General features: G+C 45.0%; 1 protein-coding gene and 1 long non-coding RNA gene across 2 annotated transcripts, besides 8 other annotated features; one reads left to right on the forward strand and one right to left on the reverse strand.

Moving 5' to 3' along the window:
- Nucleotides 3,518-4,052: an enhancer, noted in NCBI's record as "H3K27ac hESC enhancer chr1:181046610-181047144 (GRCh37/hg19 assembly coordinates)". NCBI's record gives its function as "activates a minimal SCP1, AML or CMV promoter by ChIP-STARR-seq in primed H9 embryonic stem cells {active_cell/tissue: H9 hESC(primed)}" and the evidence as "EXISTENCE:reporter gene assay evidence [ECO:0000049][PMID:30033119]".
- Nucleotides 4,053-4,586: an enhancer, noted in NCBI's record as "H3K27ac hESC enhancer chr1:181047145-181047678 (GRCh37/hg19 assembly coordinates)". NCBI's record gives its function as "activates a minimal SCP1, AML or CMV promoter by ChIP-STARR-seq in primed H9 embryonic stem cells {active_cell/tissue: H9 hESC(primed)}" and the evidence as "EXISTENCE:reporter gene assay evidence [ECO:0000049][PMID:30033119]".
- Nucleotides 5,596-5,655: a silencer, noted in NCBI's record as "silent region_1601". NCBI's record gives its function as "represses an Ori minimal core promoter by ATAC-STARR-seq in GM12878 lymphoblastoid cells {active_cell/tissue: GM12878}" and the evidence as "EXISTENCE:reporter gene assay evidence [ECO:0000049][PMID:35858748]".
- LOC124904465 (uncharacterized) lies at nucleotides 13,841-14,545 on the reverse strand. Its single transcript, XR_007066762.1, has 2 exons — nucleotides 14,319-14,545; nucleotides 13,841-13,914 (listed from the first exon to the last, which is right to left on the reverse strand). It is a non-coding gene; the product is annotated as an uncharacterized LOC124904465 (long non-coding RNA).
- Nucleotides 14,523-14,792: a silencer, noted in NCBI's record as "silent region_1602". NCBI's record gives its function as "represses an Ori minimal core promoter by ATAC-STARR-seq in GM12878 lymphoblastoid cells {active_cell/tissue: GM12878}" and the evidence as "EXISTENCE:reporter gene assay evidence [ECO:0000049][PMID:35858748]".
- IER5 (immediate early response 5) lies at nucleotides 14,744-18,944 on the forward strand. Its single transcript, NM_016545.5, has one exon. It carries the CDS (start codon nucleotides 14,947-14,949, stop codon nucleotides 15,928-15,930), a length of 984 nt encoding a protein of 327 aa, NP_057629.2. The 5' UTR covers nucleotides 14,744-14,946; the 3' UTR covers nucleotides 15,931-18,944.
- Nucleotides 15,103-15,262: a silencer, noted in NCBI's record as "silent region_1603". NCBI's record gives its function as "represses an Ori minimal core promoter by ATAC-STARR-seq in GM12878 lymphoblastoid cells {active_cell/tissue: GM12878}" and the evidence as "EXISTENCE:reporter gene assay evidence [ECO:0000049][PMID:35858748]".
- Nucleotides 15,463-15,682: a silencer, noted in NCBI's record as "silent region_1604". NCBI's record gives its function as "represses an Ori minimal core promoter by ATAC-STARR-seq in GM12878 lymphoblastoid cells {active_cell/tissue: GM12878}" and the evidence as "EXISTENCE:reporter gene assay evidence [ECO:0000049][PMID:35858748]".
- Nucleotides 16,073-16,242: an enhancer, noted in NCBI's record as "active region_2173". NCBI's record gives its function as "activates an Ori minimal core promoter by ATAC-STARR-seq in GM12878 lymphoblastoid cells {active_cell/tissue: GM12878}" and the evidence as "EXISTENCE:reporter gene assay evidence [ECO:0000049][PMID:35858748]".
- Nucleotides 16,257-16,551: a silencer, noted in NCBI's record as "tiled region #8031; K562 Repressive non-DNase unmatched - State 1:Tss". NCBI's record gives its function as "represses a minimal TATA promoter and a strong SV40 promoter by Sharpr-MPRA in K562 cells {active_cell/tissue: K562}" and the evidence as "EXISTENCE:reporter gene assay evidence [ECO:0000049][PMID:27701403]".
- Nucleotides 18,945-21,286: the final 2,342 nt, after the last annotated feature.

Below are 21,286 nucleotides of genomic sequence, written 5' to 3' on the forward strand. Positions count from 1 at the left end.
CAGGTTGAGAAAAAGATTCCCAGCCGGGCGCCACGGCTCACGCCTGTACTCCCAGCACTTTGGGAGGCCGAGGCAAGCGGATCACCTGAGGTCAGGAGTTCAAGACCAGCCTGACTAACATGGCGAAACCCCATCTCTACTGAAAACACAAAAATTAACCGAACGTAGTGGCGGGTGCCTGTAACCCCAGCTACTCGGGAGGCTGAGGCAGGAGAATCGCTTGAACCCGGGAGGCGGAAGTTGCAGTGAGCCGAGATCACACCACTGCATTCCAGCTTGGGCGACAGAGTGAGACTCCATCTCAAAAAAAAAAAAAAAGAGAGAAGATTCCTACCTTGAATCAGTTTTAATCTAATGATCAAGAAAGACATGCAGGCAGAAAATGGTAGAAAATATCGCATATGTAAAAAACAACTGATATGGCTTGGATTTGTATCCCCGCCCAAACCTTATGTCGAATTATAATCCCCAATGTTGGAGGAGGGGCCTGGTGGGAGGTGACTGGATCATGGCGGATGATTTCCCCCTTACTGTTCTCATGATAGTGAGTTCTCAACTCACAAGATCTGGTTGTTTAGGACAAGCGTGGTGGCTAATGCCTGTAATCCTAGCACTTTGGGAAGTTGAGGCAGGTGGATCGCTTAAGGCCAGGAGTTCAAGACCAGCCTGGCCAACATGGTGAAACCCCATCTCTACCAAAAATATAAAAATTAGCCGGCCATGGTGGCACATGCCTGTAGTCCCAGCTACTCAGGAGGCTGAGGCATGAGAATCACTTGAACCCAGGAGGCAGAGGTTGCAGTGAGCCAAAATGGCATCACTGCACTCCAGCCTGGGCGACAGAGCCAGACTCTGTCTCAAAAGAAAAAAAGATCTGGTTGTTTAAAAGTGTGTAGCTCCTCCCTCTGCTCTTTCTTCCTCCTTCTCTAGCCATGTAAGACATGCCTGCTTCCCCTTCACCTTCCGCCATGATTATAAGTTTCCTGAGGACTCCCCAGCCATGCTTCCTGTACAGCCTGTGGAAATGAGTCAATTAAACCTCTTTTCTTTATAAATTACCAAGTCTCAGGTAGTTCTTTATAGCAATGCGAGAATGGACTAATACAATAAGGTACATGGAAAAATCCATGGAGGTAATGAGCTCCAACTGAAGAACTGGCAGATCACTTTGGAGTAAAGACGGTATCTTAACAGTGAGCAGACCAGCCCAGTTGCTCACACCTGTAATCCCAGCACATTGGGAGGCTGAAGCAGGAGGATCCCTTGAGCCCAGGATTTCAAGACCAGCATAGGGAACACAGACTCCTGCCTCCAGAATTTTTTTTTTTAATTAGCCAGGCATGGTAGCACATGCCTGTGTCTCAGCTACCCAGGAGGCTGAGGCAGAGGATCATTTGAGCCAGAGAGGTCGAGGCTGCAGTGAGCTATGATCGTGCCACTGCACTCCAACTGGGCAACAGAGTAAGACACTGTCTCAAAAAAGAAAAGAAAAGAGAACTGTGAGCACCCCCTTCTCCTTTGAGAGAGAGGGTATGGGTGTGTGGAGATGAGGACACGGCATCCTTCAGCGTCCCTGGATGCCATTTCTGGCACAGCTGGCAGGGTTGGAATGCTGCTCACCTCTCATTGTGTGCTTCCAGAAGAGATGAGGAACCATGACAATACCCAGACCAGCCACAGGTTTTCTGAACAGAAAAGAAAGAACCAAGCTCAGTATTTCAGACATATATTTACAACCTTATCTTTTCTTAATCTAAAATGTTCCTGAAGAAGGACTTTTGAACCAAGACTCTCAGTTTGCAATACAACCTGATTTTGTAAACAAAAAACAAAAAACAAAAACCTCCAGAAATGCTCAGGATATTAAGTGACACAGAACTACAAAGAATAGTCTGTAGAATTAATGTGCTAATGAGGTACTGACACAGCTTTGCTCAGGATTAACACATTCAGGAGCCAACCAATTAACTGTCCTTTCTAATACCTCCCAGGCAAATTTCTGCGTTCAAAACTTGGTACGGCTCCTGGCCTATGTAAATCTCAGCTCCCATACACATTTTTTTTTTTTTTTTTCTGGGCTTGACTTGTGTAGGGGGCAGGTTGGGTAAATGAATAATCTTAAAGCTAGCTGAGTGGCACATCCCAGATTGAGTTCTTGTGTCATTACACTGAATGTTGGTTATATACCTGCACAATCATGCATTTCCTTAGCATCACCTCATTCCTTCGTGGATTCACACAGCCTTTCCCTGACCCTGCTCTGGGTCAGAGCAGAAGCCATGTTCGCTGGGCTTCTATTTTGCCAACTGTTCGTTGCTGACCTTCCTCCCTACTTAATATCCATGTATCATGCAGAGTCCTTGCCAAAGTAAAAAGAAGGTAAGCATCTCTGGATCCAAACGTCTAACAGTTGAGTCAGCCACAGACACTTTTAAAGGAGGATCTTTTGGAAATATCACACCACATATATATTTCTATTCCTCTCTCCTTATTTTAAGAGCCCTTCCAAGGTCTCCAAAAATATCTCTTCTCTTCATGAGGTTTTTTTCTTCTTTAAGATGTTTCAGAGTCAAGACTGGGAAAGACAATGTCGTAAAACGTTTTATATTTGCATCACTATACAGAGCTCCTCCATTCCCTTTTCTGGAAACCTCCTTCTGAAGGGACAATAGCTGGTTTTCTTCTCTAAATCATTAATTCAACAAATGTGCACTGAGAGTAACCCTGTGCATGCCATCTATTGCGCTAGGTGCTGAAGAGGAGATACGAGGAGCAAGTCCTGTTGGAACATCAAAGTTAACAGGATTTCTCCATTTTGCCTACCTGTCAGAAGAAAGCTTGCCAATTTTATACTTCCTTTTCTGGCTATTGGGTGAAAAGGAGATGATTTATGAGTATTCCAAATGTCTTCCTCCTCTATCTAATTTCTCCATCCGTTCATCCATCCACTCACCCCAACACTTTAAAGGGCCCTTCCAACTTCAGTGCTTCCTTTGGACCAAGTACTATGCTAGGCACTGAGGATACACACAGGGCAAGACCTGCCCTCTGCCCCCAGGGAAGTCCCAGTCCAGAGGGACACAGTTGTATGATCAAGACACAGTTGTATGATTCACGTAGGAACTAGAATGTCATTGCTAGAGTAGAGGTATGCACACAATGCTAAGGAATCAAGATCGTAGTTTTGAGCAGCTGAGGCTGATTGTGGATTCATTCATAAAACAGATTTCTTTTTGTTGTTGTTGTTGATGGCTGCTTTAATTCCCTTTAGGTATATTGCAAGGAAATTTAGAAACAGCAAAATCCAGATTCCAATTTGATATGTATAATCTGTTGATACTTTGGGGGCACGGTTTGGTCCTTCCATTTCTCCATGGTCCTTCTTCACCTGCGGCTCTGGACCTTCTCAAAGGCGTGCTGTGGGTCTGTTCCCCTCGTTCAGCTCATTGTGTGCTTTCCCTTCCCATCCACATCCCCAGTCATGATAGGAGACATTTCAGGACCCACAGAGCCTGGGCTGGCAGTACCAGTTGACAAGGAGGAGTGTGAGAGGGAGTCTTTCATAGACAATGAAGAGGAAGAAGTAAAAGTGGCAGGCGAGGAGAGCAGAAAAAGGAGAGAAGGAAACAGGGAGGAAGGACAAAGCCGACAATGAAGGAGAGGCGGCTGCAGCAGCAGTCTTGGTTCTAACCAGATCTCTTCAAGACCTGATGCTGAGCAATTTCTGTAACTGAGAATCAGGCTTATAGAAGGGCTGGCTGCAACAGTCCTTCCAAATATGGGGGCAAGGTGAAGCAGAATTGCAGGAATACCGAAGATCTGACTCACTTGCTGAGCGACATCTTAAAGGACGATTTCGCTTCAAAATTATGAAGTCAGGGGAAAGAAAACTCTCTCAGGATCCATCATGTGTTGCTTTTGGAAATTATTATTTTGGAGCACAAGCTGTTTCCTGTCTTTAAAGCCTATTATCTATTTCCCTTCCAGGTGGAGGTTGGGCTGCCTGCTAATTTAATCCCCTGGGCTTCCCCCTCTGCCTTCAAGATCTCACAGACGTTCAGGCTTCATAAAGAGGGCACTTTTGTGTCTTCCTCCCCTGAAGGCCTCCATCTACCATGGCAGCAAAGGAGCTGCTATTTTGGGAAACAGCAGCAGAGTTGGGAGGGTTGTTAATTGTTTGTCAAACCCTTCCATGGGGGGGCAAGAAAAAGAGCAGAGCAGTGCCCTTGCCTTCACTCTATTTCACTCTTGCATCTGTGAGAAGGGAGGGGAAAAGAGGACTCCTTGTCCTTTTCAGGCACAGGCACCCAAACTAATTAAAAAAAAAACAAAATTCATTCTTCTATCCAATGGAAAGACATAAACAAACATAATATTGTCCAAGAAGCCAATCAAAATAGTTTAAAAATCATTTATAACCTCAAAAACAAAACAAAAACAGCCAAGCAAAAACCCTTCATAACAGAAATGAAACACCAGGGGTTTTGCCGTCCATTCTGATCAAACCACCGCAGCCAAACTGACTAAGCAGATCCCCAAGCCCCGCCAACACCCCACTGACACACATGAAAACAATTCTAGCCAGGCACACTAACGGGATAATTCACCATGACACACACTCACCCCATCACAGCACAGACAAGTTCAAAATCAAACAGAAAAAGTCCCAGACTAAGAAAAAGCTACTCGGGACTGTGACCTCAGAGGCCCCCATGTGATTCTAAGACTTTCCAAGAGTTAGGTGAGCCCCTGAAGGAAATGGGTGGGAAGGGGCAAAGACCGGGAACCCAAATCTTATGCTTCTTTTTTTTTGAGACAGGGTCTCGCTCTGTTGCCCAGGCTGGAGTGTAGTGATGTGATCTGGGCTCACTGAAACCTCTGCCTCCCAGGTTCAAGCAATTCTTGTGACTCAGCCTCCAGAGTAACTGGGATTACAGGCATGCGCCACCACACCCGGCTAAGTTTTGTATTTTTAGTAGAGACGGGGTTTCACCATGTTGGCCAGGCTGATCTCAAACTCCTGGGCTCAAGTGATGTGCCTGCCTTGGCCTCCCAAAGTGCTGGGATTATAGGTGTAAGCCACCGCACAGGCCAAAATCTTATGCTTCTTAATAGGGCAACACCACCAATCACTTTATAACTACTTGGTTTTCTTCCTAGACCAATGCTCATGTGGAAGCATGGCTAATCCTACTTGACATTTTTTTTTTTTGAGACGGAATTTCACCCTTGTTGCCCAGGCTGGAGTACAGTGGTGCGATCTCCGCTCACTGCAACCTCTGCCTTCCAGGTTCAAGCAATTCTCCTGCCTCAGCCTCCCAAATAGCTGGGAATACAGGTATGAGCCACTGTGCCCAGCTACATTTTTTTTTAATACAATGATCTTTCAGCATTTTCAGGAAACTCCAAATGGAATGATCTCTTATTAATAGAGGAGTTGGGCTCAGAGAACTATGTAAGTGATAATGATAAAGGGAAGGATATGAGAGAATGCCTATTTTACATTTTTCCTCAAAAGAGCTCAGACTGCCTTATAAACACAAATCTACTAATCCGCCACACACTAGCTCCTGGTTAGCCAGCAGATCTGAAACTTCCTTTTGCACTGGAGGATGTGTTTGTATAAATACTTACTCAGAATTTGCTTAGTCAAAATGAGCATACGATGGGTTAGTGATTTAGGGTTTTTGAATTGAATGAACATTCATGTTAGAATTTAGATCAGCTGTGTTGATCTAAAGTGAACTTGACTAATGAATTAGAATATGTTCTATTAGCCACTACAGTTAGAATAGGAGGAGGGGGAAGGGGGCAAGATTTTCTTATTGGCTGAAAGAAATATATAGGTGGTCCCTAAATGAGCTGCTGATACCCTGCAAGGTTTTCAGTGCATCAGTAATCCACAATAAACGTTTAATCAGAACAGAGTGGGCAAGCAATTAGCTCAGTGATAAAAATCACACATTTGTAAACACCATGGCAGGAAAAGGAAACTGTTTAAAATCAACTTATTTTTTGTGAAAAATAGCTTTTATAGGGAAATGGTATAATGTAGAATCATGAAAAATTACGAGCTAGGCTAAGATAAAATGTATTTGCAGTAATATTTGGTTAATCTACCACTAGAATAATTTATGTCAAGTACCTTTTTTATCCTCTAGTTGGCTGCGTTTAAATATTCTGGCCTCAAATTTTAGGAACCCATTAATTAATCCATTTATTCAATAGTCATTCATCCCCTGATACAAACATAGCAATATTCAGGGTGCTGGTTACAGGGAGCGCAGGATGCAAAAAAGTGTAATGGAGCATCTCCCAGCACTTTTTTTATTTATTTTTCGAGACAGAGTCTTGCTCTGTAGCCCAGGCTGGAGTGCAGTGGTGTGATCTTGACCCCACCTCTCCAGTTCAAACGATTCTTGTGCCTCAGCCTCCCGAGTGAGTAGCTGGGATTACCAGCATGTGTCACCACACCCGGCTAATTTTTGTAATTTTAGTAGAGACGGGGTTTCACCACGTTGGCCAGGCTGGCCTTGAACTCCTGACCTCAGGTGATCTGCCCGCCTTGGCCTCCCAAAGTGCTGTCTCCGAGCACTTAATGCTATTTGGAAATGAGAACTATATCCACATAAAAGTTAAGTAATATGAGTAAACAAAATATAATACAAAACAGAAATATAAGGGATACCACAAGATAGTGAGTGCTACTGTGGTTTTAAGTAACAAACAACTGTTGGATTATGAGAGAGAGAGTGTGTGTGTGAGCACACAATAAGCATCAATGGGCACAGAAGACTTCCTGGAGGAAGTGATGTGCAGAATTTGGGCGGGAGGGAAGATGATTTCTTCTTTAAGAAACTAGATGAGATATATACTTTTTTTTTTCTTTTTTTGAGACAGAGTGTCGCTCTTGTTGCCCAAGCTGGAGTGCAATGGCGTGATCTGGGCTTACTGCAACCTCTGCCTCCTGGGTTCAAGCGATTTGCTTCTGGAGCAGCTGGGATTACAGGCACGCACCACCACGCCTAGCTAATTTTTGTATTTTTAGTAGAGACAGGGTTTCACCATGTTGGTCAGGCTGGTCTCGAACTCCTGAGCTCAGGTGATCCACCCGCCTCAGCCTCCCAAAGTGCTGGGATTACAGGTCTGAGCCACCGCACTCGGCCAAGATATATACTTTTGATTAGATCTGTCTAGCTGAGAAAGAGGGCATTTATGTTGTTCAGGATAGTAGAAAGGTTGGAAAGATTAGCCTAGGTTCATAGAATCATAGAATTTTGGACCTAAAATGATTCTAAAACAATCAGCTAGGACACCAGTTCTCAAATGTGGATGCACGTTGTAATTACTCACGGAGCTTTTAAAAATTTCAGTGCTGGGTTTCACCCCAGAGACTGATTTAACTGATCTGGGTGAGGCCTGGGTGTCTGGAAGTTTAAAAGTTCCCCAGGTGATTCTAACGTACAGCCTTAGTTTGAGGTCTACTGATTTAGTCCAACTCCCCAGTTTTATGAGAAAAGGACCACCTTCAAATTTGCTGACACACAGCTGGTAAGAGCTGCCAGGACACCCAATGAGCCCCAGCTCTATGCACCACTCTCGGTTGTTTGTCTTTGACAATGTATTGTGTAGTACTCTGGAGACCACGCCAGAGAATTGGATTTTTGCCATAAAAGGTCATGGGAAGCCACTGAGGGTTTTTGTGCAGGAAAATGGCACATTAAAAACAAATGGTCCTGCAACTTCTAGAAAGACATCAGAATTGAAAGGAATAAATGCACCCTAACAACCCAGGGGATTGATGTTATCCATGTAAATACTCCTCTGAAATTTAAGTTTTCATGTTTATATTTTGAATTAAAAACTAATATTGTGATAATTTCTATGTCATGGCATTCAAATAAGGAGAACTGTGCTCCTCGAACTTGTGGTTGTCTGTTTAGAAAGAACTTTCTTCTGGCCAATTAGTTCTGTTGTTTACATTTTTCTTTGATTTTCTCCTTAACTCTACAACTATCTAAGTGTTTTATGTTTCATTTCTTTTAAAATTTATCTTTTCTGTCCTTTCCCTCTTCCCCAATCAAGGACATTTGTTAATTGCCCACAATATGCTCATGCATATTTATATGTCTACACCTCCCTCTCCCCTTATTGTCCCCAGGGCAGTATTGTCCAATAGAAATATAATTTGAGCCACATATGTAAAATTTTATAAACAGATTAAATTAATATTAATAATCTATTTTATTTAACCCAATATATCTAAATTATATAATTTCAACATATAGCCATTATAAAAATACAAATGAGATATTTTACATTCTCTTTTTCATCCTATGTCTTTGAAACCTGCTGTGTATTTTACGGTTACAGCACATATCAACTGAGATGCTAGATTTTCAAAATTCAAAAACATGACACAATAAGATTGGGTTTCAGGGAACACGTATTCTGCTTCAATTTTTAAATTTAAATGGATTAAAATTACATAAAACGTAAAATGCAGTTCCTCAGTTGTACTTAACACATTTCATGTGCTCACTAGCCACATGTGGCTAGTAGCCAATGTAGTGAACAGCACAGGTCTAGGGTTTTATATGGTGGTGTTTTCTCATTCTGCAGCTTGATAGGATCCTAGGCTCATTTTAATGAGTTTGATTGCTCTACCCTTATTGAAGAATCTGTTTTCCTTAGGAGTCTTAAAGGAGACAGAATCTGAAAAAGTTGATCATAAAAACAATTTAAGGTTCTCTAGTGGCCGGTGCAGTGGCTCACGCCTGTAATCCTAGCATTTTGGGAGGCTAAGGCAGGCAGATCACTTGAGGTCGGGAATTCAAGACCAGCTTGGCCAACATGGTGAAACCCTATCTCTACTAAAAATACAAAAAAATTAACCAGGTGTGGTGGCGCACGCCTGTAATCCCAGGGAGGCTAAGACACAAGAATCTCTTGAACCCAGGACGCAGAGGTTGCAGTAAGCTGAGATCCCACCACTGTACTCCAGCCTGGGTGACAGAGCAAGACTCTGTCTAAAAAACAAAAACAAAAACAAAACAAAAACCAAAAAACAGAAAAAACAAAAAACAATTTAAGGTTATCTGAACAAAGATTCAAAATTTAGTACAAGAAGGTGGGCAGGGTTGTAAGCAGTTTAGGAATGAAAATGGAGAGAAGGGAAAAAGACAGGTTTTGATGTGCATTCCTAGTCAAACACCATTTGAAAATTTAAAAATTATATAGAAAATCAAGCAGCCAGGGCCAGGCAAGGTGGCTCACGCCTGTAATCCCAGCACTTTGGGAGGCTGAGGCGGGCGGATCACAAGGTCAAGAGATCAAGACCATCCTGGCCAACATGGTGAAACCCTGTCTCTACTAAAAATACAAAAATTAGCCAGGCATGGTGGCGCACGCCTGTAGTCCCAGCTACTCGGGAGGCTGAGGCAGGAGAATTGCTTGAACCCGGGAGGTGGAGGCTGCAGTGAGCCGAGATTGTGCCACTGCACTCCAGCCTGGGCGATGGAGCAGGGCTCTGTCTCAAAAAAAAAAAATTAAAATTAAAATTAAAAAAAAGAAAAATGAAAAAGAAAATCAAGCAGCCAAGAGAAAAAAAAAAAAAGATGTACAATATCCAGAATAGTGAGAGAAAAAAGGAACAAATTAAAAAGTGGATTTGGGCCAGGTGCAGTGGCTCATACCTGTAATCCCAGCACTTTGGAAGGCCGAGGCAGGTGGATCAATTGAGGTCAGGAGTTTGAGACCAGCGTAGCAAACATGGTGAAACCCCATCTCTACTAAAAATACAAAAATTAGCCATTGTGGTGGCATGCGCCTGTTGTCCCAGCTACTTGGAAGACTGAGAGGCGGAAGTTTCAGTGAGCCATGATCACACCACTGCACTCCAGCCTGGGCAACAGAGTGAGATTCTGTCTCAAAAAAAAAAAAAAAAAAAAAAAAAGTGGATTTGTCTGTTCTCAGAAGAAAAAAAGGAGTATCACTTACATAAAGTGCTAATAATGTATTTTTATAGATCTTTTCCCCCTAAATATTTAGTATGTCATACAAATGACTATTTGATTGCATAAGCAATTTTGACACTGCCCCTCACCCCCCACCAATTGAAAATGTCCTAATATTGAAAGGTAGGGACAGTGCAAATAACTTATTTTTCTTTCACCAACTCCCTTCTTACTAATTGTTACTTCTCACATAGCTACCGTGTGCATAATCTGTAGTGGGTTTGCACAGACTAGACGTAATTTAAGGCAAGTTAAGATCTTTAATCATCTGATAATAATACTTAGCCTTCAATTAGTTGTGTAAACAAGGGCGTAAATAGTGTCAACAGCAGTGGGCAGAGCAGCCTGTGCGACAGGAATCCACAGGCTTGAGCCCAGATAGCGCCTGAGTGACCTCAGACAGCTGTGGAAACAGCAGAGCCCAAAGCTCCTTGTACTAATCTGCCTGTGCCCAGCAGAGGGGTGAAAAGACAGAACAGACCTGTGGGAGGTGCTCTGGCCTTTTCTTCCAGAGCAGTTGGTTCCTCTGTTCTTCTGACAACCCTACTGTTTCTGATCATGCTGCGAACTTCTCTTTTCAACTGACAAAATCTCAGAGATGGATGATGGCAAATTCTAACTCAGTTCCTGCTTGCTAAATCTTAAAAGAATATGCTATCGTCCTGCTTTTTTTGGTAGGTGGAGGTGAAGTTTCCTGATCATACGAACTCGGGCCCTCCAGACATGAGTTCTAAAGGTTCCATTTCGTTGGCTCAGGATCAAAGAAAATCCTGATAATGACAGTGATAATGTGCAACTTGCAAGTCATCAGACATTTATTAAGCACCTATTATGTGGTACAGCAGAAAAAGCATTAAAAATTCAACAAGTACTAAGAGTGTACCTACTATGTGTTCAGAACTGTGCTAGGCACTGGTGTGATAACAATAACCATAATAACAACAATAACTAAGAATTATAAGTGTTTATATGGTGCTAGGAACTGTACTAAGCAATTTAGTTATTTTTATTATTCCCATTTTTCACAGGAGACTGAGGCACAAAGAGGTTAAATAACTTGCCTATATAAGCAAACTAAAATATGGATTTCCCATTTCACCTAGAGGTGAGATGACTTTCCAAAGGTCACACAGCAGTGAGAAGAGGAGCCAGGCAATCTAGCCCCATGACCCCACATTGGAGCTTTAAGTAGGTTAAATGTAAATGAAGATAATGATATCTACTTTCAGAACTTTATAAATGTGCTAAATAATGCATGTACTATGTCTAGCACAGTGCTTGGTAAACATTATTATTATTAGGAATTCATTAATCCAAGTGTATAATCACTCAGTATGCACTGGTACAGCCAACCCAGTTGTTAAAGTATTGAAATGTTTCCATGTCAGTTGATAGAACCTCTGCCCTAAGCCCGTGAGTAGCCCCCTTACTGGCCATGCAGCCCCTCTTGCAGGAGCCCTCCAAACCCCTAGCATTGTAAGGGCCTCCAGGACCCTGTTCTGATGGTTAGTGCCTGTACTGCACCAGCTGTTATGTATTTTCACCATATCCTGGCTACAAATATGAGCTGGGCTCCTGCCTTCAATGAGGGCATAGTCTGGGAGGGACACTGGGCATGACAGGAGAAAGTGATGAGGGCAATGATGAAGGAGTGTGCTGAGTACAGTGGTGGATGATGGAAAAGCTCAGCTCAGGCAGGTCAGAAAGCCTTCATGGAAGGCAAGAGGCTTGACACTAGCAATAACCTGCCTGGATGGGTGAGTGGGAGCATCCCAGATCATCACTAAAGTTCTTTTGTCTCTCAGTTTCCTCATTTTTTTTTTTTTTTTTTTTTTTTGAGATGGAGTCTTGCTCTGTCACCCAGGCTGGAGTGCAGTGGTGCGACCTCCGCTCATTGTAACCTCTGCCTGCTGAGTTTCAGCAATTCCCCTGCCTCAGCCTCCCAAGTAGCTGGGATTACAGGCACGTGCCACCATGCCCGGCTAATTTTTTGTATTTTTAGTAAAGACGGGGTTTCACCATGCTGGCCGGGCTGGTCTTGAACTCCTAACCTCGTGATCCGCCCACCTCGGCCTCCCAAAGTGCTGGGATTACAGGCATGAGCCACCATGCCCTGCCAGTTTCTTCATTCTTGTTGCCTCCACCTAGTTCAGGTCTTCACAACCCTTTGCCTAAATTTCCACAAGAGCTTTATGTGTGCTCTTCTATGCACCAACTGTTCTAGAATCTATTCTGTGCTTCCCTTACTGAACAACCTTTAGTAAGGTCCCTGTGGTCCTATCTCCTCATCAAGGCACCCACAACCCACTATCATGCAGCCTCGGCCTCTGTTTCTAGCCTTTCCCACTTGCTTTTGGGCATGTGCCCAGCACAACTGCAAAGTAAGATGTTCCCTACACTGGACTCTGTTGCTCCTGCTGCTTGGAACTTGTGGATCCTACCTCAGAGGTTTTCAGCACCCTCTTCAGATACAACTTCTTTGGTGAAACTTTCTCCCATCTATGTTCCTTTCTTCTCCCAGCCTCTTCTCCCACCCCAGGGTAGTATGTGGGGTAGTGTGTTCTGAGAACTAGCCTACATTGATAGCTTATTATATGCCAGGTGCTGTTCTATGAGCTTTGCATGTGCTACCTTGTTCTACCCTCACAAAAACTCTAAGAGGTAGGCATTATTATTATTATATTTATATTTATTTTATTGTATTTTTTGAGACAGAGTCTCACTCTGTTGCCCAGGCTGGAGTACAATGGTGTGATCTCGGCTCACTGCAACCTCTGCCTCCTGTGTTCAAGCAATTCTCCTGCCTCAGCCTTCCGAGTAGCTGGGATTACAGGCACCTGCCGCCATGCCAGGCTAATTACTGTATTTTTTTTTTTAGTAGAGACAGGGTTTCACCATATTAGCCAGGCTGGTCTTGAACTCCTGATCTCAAGTGATCCGCCCACCTTGTCCTTCCAAAGTGATAGGATTACAGGCGTGAGCCACCACACCCGGCTGATTATTTTGTAATAAAAAAGACGGCAGCACAGAGAAGTGAAGTAATTTTCCAGAGGCCATGCAGCAAGTGAAAGGTGAAGCTGGGATTCCAACCTAGGAAGCCAGCCTCCTCAGCCTGTGCTCTTAGCCATTGCTTTATAGTGACTAATAACTTGCAAAGAAAAAGAGAAGAGAAAAATTCTTGTGTCATTACTCAATATATGCTATTTGGTTTTGTAATTATTCGTGTCATTATTTTATATCTTCCTCTACGTGGGCTGAAAATTCCTAGAGGGGAGGAACTCTGGGTCTCAGAGCCTGCTGTCTCAGTTACCATCAGTTGTGGGCACAGGTAATGCTATTGAGCCATCACATCCTCTGGAGATTGTGAATTGGTCATGATCAAGCCCACTCTTCACTGGTATTTTTCCTAAATAAATTCATTGCTTGACCAACCCCGGGGCAGGATCAGGCCCAGGGTTCCACATGGACTCCAAGAAAGCAGTGCTTAGTTTTCTCATTCAGATTGTGGCTGAGAAGTTGTCATTTATCGTCTGTACAATAACGCAGATGTGTATGTGACTTCCCCCTTTTCAGCAGTGGAGACACTGAAGCGGCCTGAGGTTATTTACCCAGAGTCCTCAGGCAGGTCTGTGGTGGAGCTTCGGTGGAACTAACTGGAAGTGACTCCATGTTTCCAGTCCAGGACCCTGGGCAACCCCGTGGTAATTGTGTCCTGATATACTTATAAGGACCAGTAGATGGACTAAGTTGTTGACTGACCAGAAAATTCTGGAACTCCCTAGCACTATATTTTTACCTTGACACGAAATGAAATTATGACATCATCATGGGAACACAGGACTTCTTTCTTTTTATTTTCAGAACTTGCTCGATTTTTCCAAGGGTGGACTGGTCAGTCCTTGTAATGGAAAAATGGAAATGGAAAAAAAAAAGGAAAAAAAAATCATTGTGGAGAACCTGTAACATCTTCCATTTAACTTATTTGATAACTGGGTTTGTTCTAGAATCTAGAGAACAAAGTGAAAGATGCCAGCTTTAGAGGACAACCAATAACTTTGTATCTAGACACGATTCCTTGAAAAGAAGCCAAAAACCTAGGCAAAAACTTTTAGAATCCCCCTTTTCTTTGGGGTTAGAACTGACAGCTGCTAAGAGTGTATGTGACTCTAGCGGGGAAAGCGGCTCATCCAAAAATAATGATTGCCAAATACTTTGCAGTAATACTATTTGTTATCCAGGGGTGTCCTCCGCCGCGTATGGCCACCATCTCTATTTTTGCCAGGGTTGAGGGGGGTCGCTTACAGGTGTGGCCGGCCTGGAAACGGTGGTGTGGCTGGTGAGGGCGGAGTCGATCAGGGAAGGATCAGGACTTTATGGCAGAACAGAGTCCACCACCGTGTTCGGAAGAAAGTTCGAATATTTTGTTCGCTTTGGTTCCGGCAAGCCATCGCACAAGCCAGAATCTGTAACTCCAAACAGTAGCGCTCTCGAGCACCGTCCCGAACATTCACTCCCCACGGGCCTGGTCTGCGGCCGCAAGCCGTCGCCCCCTTTAAGAGCCTGCTCCGCGGGACTAACGTTCGAACGGGCCCTGGCGCCCCTCCTCGGGCTCCGATTGGCCGTGCGCGGCGCACGAGGGCGCGCCGGCCAGCCCCGGAACGGTTGGCGGCCCTTCGTGATTGGCGGTCGAGAAGCCTATATAAGGCGCGGGGCAGCCAGGCTGCCCTGTTTAGCGACCGGACCCGAAACGGGGAAGTTGTCTTGTTTGGAGAGGTTAGTAGAGCAGCGCGCGCGTCACCAGAGTCGTTTCTCTTCGGAGTCTTAGGTGATCGAGGGTGTGCCCAGGGGGCGGACTTGTTTGCGCCTCCCGTTCCCTCCCAATTTCCAAACGTGTCACCCCGGCGCCGACGGCCCTGTGCAGGGGAAGCAGATGGAGTTCAAGCTGGAGGCTCATCGCATCGTCAGCATCTCTCTGGGCAAGATCTACAACTCGCGGGTCCAGCGCGGCGGCATCAAGCTGCATAAGAACCTCCTGGTCTCGCTGGTGCTGCGCAGCGCCCGCCAAGTCTACCTGAGCGACCCGTGCCCCGGCCTCTACCTGGCCGGTCCCGCTGGGACCCCGGCGCCGCCACCGCAGCAGCAGCCCGGGGAGCCGGCGGCCGGGCCACCCGCCGGCTGGGGAGAGCCGCCCCCGCCCGCCGCTCGTGCCTCTTGGCCGGAGACCGAGCCGCAGCCGGAGCGCTCCTCCGTCTCAGACGCGCCGCGGGTAGGGGACGAGGTGCCGGTGGCCACGGTGACTGGAGTCGGGGACGTTTTTCAGGGCGGAGAGGCGGACGCGACGGAAGCTGCCTGGAGCCGCGTGGAGGGGCCGCGCCAGGCGGCGGCCAGAGAAGCCGAGGGTACCGCCGGAGGCTGGGGCGTCTTCCCCGAGGTATCTCGTGCCGCGCGCCGCCCCTGCGGCTGCCCCCTAGGCGGGGAGGACCCGCCGGGTACACCGGCCGCGACCCCCCGCGCTGCCTGCTGCTGCGCGCCGCAACCAGCGGAGGACGAGCCCCCCGCGCCGCCCGCGGTGTGCCCCAGGAAGCGCTGCGCGGCGGGGGTGGGCGGCGGCCCAGCGGGCTGCCCGGCGCCCGGCTCGACCCCGCTCAAGAAGCCCCGCCGGAACTTAGAGCAGCCGCCGAGTGGAGGAGAGGACGACGACGCGGAGGAGATGGAGACCGGGAACGTGGCTAACCTCATCAGCATCTTCGGTTCCAGTTTCTCGGGACTCCTACGGAAAAGCCCCGGGGGCGGCAGAGAGGAAGAGGAGGGAGAGGAGAGCGGTCCGGAAGCCGCCGAGCCCGGGCAGATCTGCTGCGATAAGCCGGTGCTGAGAGACATGAACCCCTGGAGCACAGCCATCGTGGCCTTCTGAGCCCTTGGCCCCCCTGCGGGGAGGAGGTGGAGCAGCGGGCGTCCCCGAAGTGAGGGCCAGGCCCTTCCCGGCTGCGAGGACGCCCAGAGACCGCGGGCGCTGAGCGCGTTGGGCAGACTGGTTGCCTCTGGGCATCGCAAACTGCCCCCGGGCGCATCTGGCTTATCTGGAGACCTGGGAGCTTGAGGCTCATTGGAAGAGGACGATCGTTAACTTTTGTGTTTGTGTATGTCTGTGTATGTAAGTTTGTCTTGTGGCATTAAGACTATTTTGCTCTTCTGGAATGCACCACTCCTTCCCCAGGGTTTAAGAGATTGGGGGCAGACAGGGACTTTCCTCTGCCGGCTGCGTGGAGAAGGAAGCGGCTAAAAGGTTTGGGCCGGGGAGTTCCCCATTCGTTCTCCGGGGAGGGAGGGACTTTACACCTACCCCTCACCGGAAAGCTAGACCCGCTTCAGGGCCAGGAGTGGCGTTTCCGCACAGGATTTCCTAAGACGAGAGGGATTTAGCCAAGAGCACAGACTTGGATTCCTTCTGTCCCTCCCCACCTTTCTCTCCCAATGAAGAAACGTTTATATCCTGTGATTACTCTAGGAAAGGGGCGTATTAACGGTCCTTTGCTTCCCCGCAGGGGAGAAAAAGCTTGACGAACTTCACAGAAGAGTTCAAGCTTGGAAATAATGGAGTTTATAGAGAAAAGATATATTTTTAAAAGCTCTAGGTCAGAAGTACTACACAGTGCTTTTAAAAAGTGTTTAATGAGAGTTTACAGACAGAAGCCCGAAGTGGAAAGACCTTATGGTTTTGTAGATATGGTGACTCCAGTCTTTGTTGTATAAAGGTTGGGGGAGCTGATAAGGTTTTTGTACAGTATTTTCTCCTTCGTTGTATTGATTTTTGTATAAAAATGTAACTTCTACGTGTCTAACACGTATTAAATATTTTGAAGCAACGTAACTGCCTGCTTGTCTGTAATAACCTGCCTGGGTTGGGAGGGAAGTGGGAGGAGGGAAACCAGGGCCTGAGCTAGAAAATTGAAGGTGTGGTTCTTAGTATCAGTCATTCGCAGACTGAGGACATTGTTTACTGACTCCACTAAGTATCAAGAGAGACACGTTTAATTTTTCCTCCTAGATCAGAGGACTGCTATTAGATACTAATATCGGCGACCTGTCAGGTTCTAGAAACCTGCCACTACAACTGCCTTTTCTAAGGTCAGTTTAGACCAATTTGTCACCCAATATGTGGGTGTCTAATACTAAGTAATTTAACCAACTTTTGAAGCCCCGCTTATCCACAAAAATGTTTTTCAGCAAAACTTTGTTTCCTGTTAAGCTATTAATACGGGTCATCTTTTAGCTTTGTAATTGAAAAAAAAAAAGTTTAGATAGTAGTTTACCTTAAAAGCCCATTCGAACTGACATAGGAAGATGAAAGAGACTGACTTGTCCAAATTGTCAGGTCCACCTCTGCATCACAGTGGATGTCAGGATGTAAATTTTCAGTTTTTCTCTTACATCTAGAAAGTAAATATATTGCTGAGAGGGAAATTGTTTGCATCAAACCAGATAAGGAAGGAGGGCTAGGCAAATTTAGTTCTCATTTAGCAAAACTTCCTGATTTGTTTTGTTACTTAAATGGTGACATCAGTGTTTGGTCATGGTAGACACTTAGGTGATGATAGCCAAAACATCCATCGATTTTACTAAAATCACTGCCATTAAGAGAGTTTTTTGTCTCTTCATGTTCAATGTTTGAAAGGTATTCAGTAATCTATTTCAGAAGCAAATCAATTAGGGAATGGTGTTTATTAAAATACGGTACAGTTGCCAGGACTTTAAAAGATGGTACTGGTTTCTAACAACTTACGAGTATATAGGGTATTTAAAAGATGGGAGAGATTGAAGAAAGACAAAGGTTTAAAGGTCATAGCCTTCGAGCATAAGAGGCATATGAATGGTGTCTTGGCCTTAACTCCCAATTATACGAACTTCTGTTTTAGCTGAATAGGCCAGTGCCTCGTGCCTTGATATTTCGGCAAATCTATTAGTGGTTCCTTAAGCATAGGGAACTTTGTACTTTATGCTCTGTCGCCATAATAATGTATTTATAGAATTAAACATTCTCAAATTAGGGTCTTGTTAAACTGACTTTTTCTTTCAGAAAGTAGCTACTTAAATTCTGTTACAGCTACAAAAGATCCATCAAGTGCTGACTGCTTAAACTGAAGAAGGTGTCCAGGGCCTTAATTCTGCAAACATTTCCTGTTGTTAGAAAGTATGATGCTTGAACAGCGATCTCAGTGTATTTTATGTTTTAAAGGGGGTAACGTTTGGTGTGTTTAAGAGAGCTGATGTGTTTTGGATGAGACTAAAGTTGATCCTTGGTTTTACATTAAGATGAACCTGGGTCCATGTGTCTGCTTAAAGAATGTAAATTGGCATACTTGATAGGAGGATAAAGCTTTGTAGGAATTAGAAAAGATCATTCTCTTTTTTGTTGCAGAAGCAGTATAGTATAGTAGTTAGAGCATGGGCCCTGGAGCCAGGCTGCTTGGTGTCTTCCTTTATTTATTTATTTATTTAATTATAAAAAGTAAATATAAAGTGAGCTATGTTGACCAGGTTCGTCTTGAACTCCTGGCCTCAAGCAATCCTCCTGCCTCAGCCTCCCAAAGTGCTGGGATTACAGGCATGAGCCACCACAACCTGGCCTGCTTGGGTTTTTCTATCTTGGCTCTGCCACCTAGCTGTGGGTCCTTGGACAAGTTACTTCATCTCTCTGTGCCTCAGGTTTTTCAAATGTAAAATTGGGATAATTGGATCTGTCTCATAGGGTTGTGAAAATTAATGAGTTAATGCTCTTAGAAGAGTACCTCATATGTAATAAGCACGCAACTGTTAATTATTGTTAATGTAGAAGTTAATTCTGTGTATAAATCAGATACACTGTGGTCAAAGATTTGTGTGTATTTGTAAGAAAAGAGGAGAATGGAGAATCTATTTTTAAGTGGTCCTATGTGTGAATGCTGGGTTCTTTTATTCCTCTTTTTCTCTGGACACTTGGCAGTCAGGAAGCTTTGTTCTACCAACATAGTTTTGTTGCTGTGAATGTCTCACACCAACCGGATGATTTTTCCAATTGTATCAAACAACTCTATTTTCAGGGAGGAGTAAGCTGAAGTGAAAACAGGCAAGGAGCAAAGTTCTTGTTGACATACAAATGCTTTCTGTGGATGAGTAAAGAAAAAAGTAGCCCATAAAGTTATTTTTGCTTGAATTATTGCGCATGGAATGTTTAAAACATGCTTATTGATAGGTTCTGGACAAGAGCCTTCCCAATGCCAACCTAGGGCTATCACACAACCAAATCAGATGCAGTGTGACTAGAAACGATGCCATGGTTTTAGTACCTAACCACTTCTTCACCACTCTGGGAGGGACCTAGTCTCTTGATCAAATTAACCTTAGCTCTGGGGTGTAAAAAAACCTTCTGACTGCTGCGTAAAAGCCAGATGTTTAAAGTGCTTTCCAACAAGTACTCCAAGAAGATCACATTAATAGGGAATAAAGTCTGGGCGCGGTGGCTCACACCTGTAATCCCAGCACTTTGGGAGGCCGAGGCAGGTGGATCACCTGAGGTCAGGAGTTCAAGACCAGCCTGGCCAACATGGTGAAACCCTGTCTCTACTAAAAATATAAAAATTAGCCAGGTGTGGTGGTGGGAAAAAAGAGAATAAAGGGATAAATGTTAGTAATGTATTTTTTTTTTTGAGACAGAGTCTTGCTCTGTCACCCAGGCTAGAGTGCAGTGGTGTGATCTCAGCTCACTGTAACCTCTGCCTCCCTAGTTCAAGCGATTGTCCTGCTTCAGCCTCCCAAAGTGCTGGGATTACAGGCATGCACCACCACGTCTGGCTAACTTTTGTATTTTTAGTAGAGACGGGGTTTCACCATGTTGACCAGGCTGGTCTCAAACTCCTGACCTCCGGTGATCCACCTGCCTTGGCCTCCCAAAGTGCTGGGATTACAGGCGTGAGCCACTGCCCCCGGCCTAGTATGTACTTCTCAACCATGTTGTTTTAACCCTGTCTTCCCTTTTAGAAACCATCATTTGTTCTTGGCGATGGGAACTAATGATGGAAAGCCTGAATTGCTCCTCCAAGGTGACTGGGTTTTCTTTATGGCACCAAATAACCTTTCCATTCCTTCTACTCATCACTGATTGGATTTGGGAGTGTGAAGTGAGAGGAAATGGGTCATTTGACAACTTTGGTGGAAAGCTTCTCAGAATAAAGATGTCAGAAATATTGGGAATGAAATTAATAATTATAAAACTGTTCCATCTTATCACTGGGTTAGTCTGAGTCTCTCTTACTGCAACTTACTAGGCATGATAACCTAGCCTCAGATCCTGTGTGATGGGGTCGACAGGCTAATCCCACTGTGATATGGCATTTGATGGACATTTATTTCCTTGTACTTTTTTAAAAAAAAGTAGAGTTAGTTCAGTTCACTGAATAACCAAAGGATTTCTGATCTCTTGCCCTAAATATTTTATTCTTCTCCTGTTTGTGAATTTTTTATTCTTCTAGACTTCCTTTTATCCCAGCAGTCCCTGAAAAAAGACAGGAATGAAAAGAAACGCTGATCCAACCTTTCCGTGACTATGAAAGAGGCCATTACTATGAGGTGCAGTGCTCCGGTGGGGAGGGAGGCCTGCTTCCCAGGATTCCTGGCACTCTTTCCAGTAATGAGCAGTTTGTCTCTCAGCCTTTGAACCATTGTTCAAATTTAAAATTCAACCCAGTGGAAAGCCTTGGGAGGAAAAAACATAGAAGGAGAGTTGATGTTAGGAATCACTGTGATCTTAACACATGCCCTTGGAGTTTTTCAGTAATAATTCTTAAGGGTACGATAGGGAACAAATGTGGAAGAGCAGAAAGTGTGAAAGGATACGCACATCTAGCTGAATGCCTCCTTCCTGATTCAAACACAGTTTTTCCCAATGCCTGCTACCACTGCTCCCTCCCGCAGTGGGAATGGGGGTTTTAAAATAAAATCTCTCTCTAGCAATTGCTGTCTCCCAGAGGAATACAGCCCAAAGCTCTTTGCTGGACTACAGCCTGGGGTTTATCTCAGACCTCTGGAATCCTTCAGGCAGGGAAGGAGAAACCTCCAGGGACTGCATTCCTGAAAGGGCCTCTCCTCTTTCCTCTCCAGACCAGCAGCAGCCTCTATCACCGGATGCTGCCCACTTATGGGCAGGTGAAATAGAGTATTGGCTATCAGCTTTTGGAAGCTGCAGGAAGAAGGGCTGGTACCCAGCACTGCTACTGAGCATCTCTAGCAGGTGA

This window comes from Homo sapiens, chromosome 1, assembly GCF_000001405.40.
Source record: "Homo sapiens chromosome 1, GRCh38.p14 Primary Assembly".
Lineage (NCBI taxonomy): Eukaryota > Metazoa > Chordata > Mammalia > Primates > Hominidae > Homo > Homo sapiens.

Bases quoted from the DNA above. Each gene is read 5' to 3' on its own strand.
- IER5 (NM_016545.5), top strand. From the start codon at position 14,947: ATGGAGTTCAAGCTGGAGGCTCATCGCATCGTCAGCATCTCTCTGGGC.